At 34.1% G+C, this 5769-nt stretch overlaps 1 annotated feature.

Annotated features, from left to right (window-relative positions):
- Positions 2248-2748: an enhancer, noted in NCBI's record as "H3K4me1 hESC enhancer chr6:94563715-94564215 (GRCh37/hg19 assembly coordinates)". NCBI's record gives its function as "activates a minimal SCP1, AML or CMV promoter by ChIP-STARR-seq in naive H9 embryonic stem cells {active_cell/tissue: H9 hESC(naive)}" and the evidence as "EXISTENCE:reporter gene assay evidence [ECO:0000049][PMID:30033119]".

Here is a 5769-nt window from a genome sequence, read left to right as displayed (position 1 = left end):
ATACAAAAATTCTCTGTAACCAAGGAACTCATATAGAGTCATTACCACTGAAAGAAACTAGAGGCGAAACTAGATGATAATAAACTATAAAGTCACAACCTCATGGGAAAAAATAAAAACCCAATTGAATAAAAAATATGATGGGTGCACCAAAATCTCAGAAATCACCACTAAAGAACTAAAGGACTAATGAATGAATGAACGAATGAATAAATAATTATAAGAGAGAGTGTATTTGTTTCTTCTCACGCTGCTAATAAAGACATACCCAAGACTGGATAATTTATAAAAGAAAAAGTTTTAATAGACTTACAGTTTAGCATGGCTGGGGAGGCCTCAGGAAACTTACAATCATGGTGGAAGGGGAAGCAAACACATCCTTCTTCACTTAATGACAGGAAGGAGAAATGTCAAACAAAAAGGGAGAAACCCCTTATAAAATTATCAGATATCCTGAAAACTCTTCACTAACACGAGAAAAGCTGTATGGGGGTAACCACCCCCATGATTCAATTACCTCCCACCAGGTCCCTCTCACAACATGTGGGGATTATGGAAACTACAATTTGTGATGAAATTTGGGTGGGGACACAGCCAAACCATAGCAAATAGTCCACTCAGATGAGAAAGAACCAGAAAAATAATTCTGGCAATACAAAAAAACACAGATCTATAACACCCCCAAAATATTACAATAACTCTCCAGCAGTGGATCACATCCAAGATGAAATCTTTAAATATCAAATAATTCAAAAGGTTGATTTCACAACCAACCTTTCTCTTGTATGTCCTAGTTATGTCAAAGACGTACAAGAGAAAGGTGAAAACCAACATATATAATATTTCTTAAAAACTCAGGATATGAATTAAAAATCTTCTGATAGATAATTTAATGAGAAACCAAACCAAACTTGTGGATATGAGAAATGCATTTAGGAAACTACAAAATGCGGTAGAAGATTTTAACAATAAGCTAGACCAAGTAGAAGAAAGATTTTAGAGCTTGAAGAAAAGGCTTTCAAACTAACCCAATAAGACAAAAAGAAGAAAGGCTTAAAAGAAATGAATGAAGTCTCCAAGAAATATGGAATATGTAAAATGGTTAACCTAAGAATTATAGATTTTCTTCAAGGAAAAGAAAACATGCCAAAAGAAAAAGCAAAAAGTTTGGAAAACCCATTTGAGAGAATAATTGAGAGAAATTTCTCTGGCCTTGCTAGAGATTAAAACATCCAAATATGAGAAGCTAAAGAACTCTTTGGAGATGCATAGTAAAAAGGACGTCATCAATGCATATATAGTTATCAGGCTATCTAAGGTCAACATGAAGGAGAGAATTTAAAGAGCAGTGATAAAAAGACATCGGGTAACCTATAAAGAAAACCTATCAGACTAACAGCAAACTCCTCAGCAGAATCCTTACAGACCAAAGGGATTGAAGTCCTATCTTCAGTCTCCTTAAACAGAATAACTGTCAGTCAAGAATTTTCTATACAACAAAACATAAGTGAAAGAGAAATAAAGTATTTCTCAGACATGCAAATGCTGAGGAAATTTGTCAATACTAGACCAGCCTTATAATAAATGTTAAAAGGAACTCTAAATCTTGAAACTAAAGGTCAATACACACCAGAATAGAAATGCCTGAAAGCACAAAAATTCACAGTGCTTATAAAACAATAACACAATGCAGAAAACAAACTCACTAGTAACAAGACAATGACTGGAAGAGTACCTCACATCTCAATATTAGCATTGAATATGAATGGTCTCTATGATCCACTTAAAAGATACAGATGGATAAATGGATAAAAATATCACAAACTAGATATCTTCTTTCTTCAGGAGATACACCTAATGTAAGTATTCTTATAGACTCAAGATTAAGGGGTAGAAAAAGATATTTCATACAAATAGAAAGTAGTAACTATTCTTACATTAGATAAAACAGACTTTCAAGAAACAACAGTTTTTTAAAAAGACAAAGTCATATAATGATAAAAGGATGAAGTGAACAAGAAAATATAACAATCCTATATATATATCCACCCAACTCTGGAGCTCTCAGATTCATAAAGCACTTACTACTAAACCTAAGAATACAGATAGCAACACAGTAATAGTGAGGTAATTTAACACTCCACTGACAAACTAGACGGATCATTGAGGCAGAAAGTCAACAAGGAAATACTGAATTTAAATTGCACTCTAGAAGAAATAGACCTAATATTTACAGAACATTCTACCTAAGAACTGTAGAAGATACATTCTTCTCACCAGCAGATAAAACAGTATCTAAGATAGACCATATGAGAGCCCACAAAATATGTCCCAATATATTTCTAAAAATTGAAATTATATCACATATCTTCTCAAACAGCAGAATAAAACTAGAAACCAATTCCAAAAGGAACCCTCGAAACTATACAAATCCATGGAAATTAAACAATCAACTTCTGAATGACTTTTGTGTTAACGATGAAATCAATATGGAAATCAAAACATTTTTCAAAATGAATGATAACAGTGACACAAGTTACCAAAATCTCTGGGATAAAGACAAAGCAATGCCGAGAGGATAGTGTATAGTGTTAAATGCCTACATCAAAAAGTCTGAAAGTGGCCGGGCGCTGTGGCTCACGTCTGTAATCCCAGCCCTTTGGGAGGCCGAGACAGGCGGATCACAAGGTCAGGAAATCGAGACCATCCTGGCTAACATGGTGAAACCCCTCTCTACTAAAAATACAAAAAATTAGCCGGGCGTGGTGGTGGGCGCCTGCCGTCCCAGCTAAGGGGCAGGTGGGGGCGGGGGGAGGCAGGAGAATGGCTTCAACCCGGGAGGTGGAGCTTGCAGTAAGCCGAAATCGCGCCACTGCACTCCAGCCTGGGCAACTGAGAGAGACTCCATCTCCAAATAAAAAAAAAAAAAAAAGTGAAAGATCACAAATTGACAACCTAATATCACACCTCAAGAAACTAGAGAAACCAGAACAAACAAAACCCAAATCTTGCAGAATAAAAGAAATGGCAAAAATTAGAAGAGAACTAAATAAAATTGAAACCAAAACAAAAACTGAAAGATCAATGAAACAAAGTGTTGGTTCTTTCAAAAGATAAACAAAGTTGATAGATCACTGGCTAAATTAACCAAGAAAAGAAAATTTACATAAACTCAGTTAGAAATAAAAATGGAGATGTTACAACTTACAGCACAGAAATAAAAAATACCATTTAAGATTACTATGAACATATCTATGCACACAAATTAGAAATTCTAGAGGAAATGCATAAATTTTTGAAAATATACAACCCCGCTAGCTTGAATAAGGAAGAAATAGAAATCCTGAAAAGACCAGAAACAAGTAGAGAGATTGAATCAGTAATTTTTTAAAAACTGCCAACAACAACAACAAAGCCCAGAGCCAGATGGATTCACAGCCAAATTCTACTGAACATTCAAAGAATTGGTCCTAATTCTATTGAAACTATTCTGAAAGGTTGAGAAAGAGGGAATCCTTCCTAAGTCATCCTGCGAAGCCAGTATCACCCTGACATCAAATCCAATAAAGGATGTAACAATAAAAAACTACAGACCATTATCCCTAATAAATATAGATGTGAAAATACTCAACAAAATACTAGCAAATCAAATATAACAGCAGATAAAAAAAATTCACCATGATGAAGTGGGTTTCTTGCCAGGAATACAGAGATGATTCAATATATGCAAGACAATAAATGTGATTCATCACATTAACACAATTAAAAATAAAAAACCTTATGATCATCTCAATAATGCAGAGAAAACATTTAATAAAATCCAGCCTTATTTATGATTAAAAACCCTCAACAAGCTAGACATAGAAAGAACTTACCTCAAAGTAATAAAAACCGTGTATGACAAATCCACAGCCAACATCATGCTGAACAGGAAAAAGTTGAAAGTGTTCCCCCTAAGAACTGTAGCAAGTCAAGGATGCCCACTTTCACCACTTCTCTAAAATGATTCTGAAAGTCCTAGCCAGGGCAATAAGTCAAAAGAAAGGGCATCCAGATTGGACTAGAGGAAGTCAAACTATCCATTTGCCTATTACATAATCTGATACAGAGAAAATTCTAAAGACTCCTCCAAAAGACTCCTTGATCTGATAATTGAACTCAGGAAAGTCTCAAGGTACAAAATCAATGTACACAAATCAGTAGCACTGCTATACACTAACAATGACCAAACTGAGAACCAAATTGAGAACTTAATAAATTTTATAGTAGCTCCCCAAAATAAATTAAAATATCTAGGAGTGTACTTAATCAAGGAGATGAAGGATCTCTACAAGGAGAACTACAAAACACGCTGAAATAAATCATAGATGACACAAACAAAGGGAAATACATCCCATACTCATGGAATGGAAGAACCAATATCATAAGAATATCCAGACTGCTCAAAGCAATCTATAGATACAGTGCAATTTCAATCAAAATACAAACATCATTTTTCACAGAATTAGCAAAACAATCCTAAAATTCATATGGAACCAAGAAAGGATAATAGCCACTGAATAGCCAAAGAAATCCTAAGCAAAAACAAGTATGGAGGCATCACATTACCCAACTTCAAATTATACAACAAGGCTATAGTAACCAAAACAACATGGTAGTGGTATAAAAGTAGATACATAGACTAATGGAACAGAACAGATAACCCAGAAATAAAGCCAAATGTTTATGACCAACTGATCTTTAACAAAGCACATAGACACATAAACTGGGAAAAGGACACCCTATGCAATAAATGGTGCTGTGAAAATTGGATAGCCACATGTGGAAGAATGAAACTGAATCCCTCTCACTGTGTATGAAACTTAACGCAATATTAATTAAAGACTTAAATCTAAGACATGAAACCATAAAAATCCTACAAGAAAACCTAGGAAAATCTTTTCTGGACATTGGCCTAGGCAAAAAAATAAAAATAAAAAAGTAAATGCAAAATAAGCAAAACTAAATACATGGGATCTAATTAAGGTAAAAAGCTTCTGCACAGCAAAAGAATGGTCATCAGAATAAATGGACAACATACAGAGTGAGAGAAAATATTTGCAAATTATCCATCCAACAAAGGACTAATATCCAGAATCTACAAGAAACTCAAGCAAATCAGCAAGAAAAAAAAAATCAAAGTACATAAATAGACAGTTCTCAAAAGAAGACATACAAATGACCAACAAACATATTTTAAAACGTTCAACATCACTAATCATTAGGGAATTACAATCTAAAACTTCAACGAAATAACACTTTACCCCAGCCAGAATGGCCATTATTAAAAAGTCAAAAAAAATAGATGGTAATGTGGATGTGATGAAAAAAGAATGCTTATACATTGTTGGTAGGAAATGTGAATTAGTACAACCTCTATGGAAAAAGTGTGAAGACTTCTCAAAGATCTAAAAGTAGATCTACCATTCTTCCAGCAATCCCACTATCGGGGTTGTACCCAAAGGAAAAGAGGTCACTGTATCAAAAAGATACTTGCACATATGTTTATCACGACACAATTCACAATTGCAAATATATGGAATTAACCTAAGTGCCCATCAACCAATGAGTGGTGATATATATACATATATCACACTTTCTTTATCCACTCATTTGATATACACACCACAGAATACTACTCAGCCATAAAAAAGAATGAAATAATATCTTTTGCAGGAAATTAGAGGTAACTGGAAGACATTATTCTAAGTAACTCAGGAATGTTACTTA

This window comes from Homo sapiens, chromosome 6 (assembly GCF_000001405.40).
Source record: "Homo sapiens chromosome 6, GRCh38.p14 Primary Assembly".
In the NCBI taxonomy this organism is placed as follows: Eukaryota; Metazoa; Chordata; class Mammalia; order Primates; family Hominidae; genus Homo; species Homo sapiens.
Note: the sequence above shows the minus strand (reverse complement) of the source record. Positions and strands in the feature narration are given on the sequence as shown.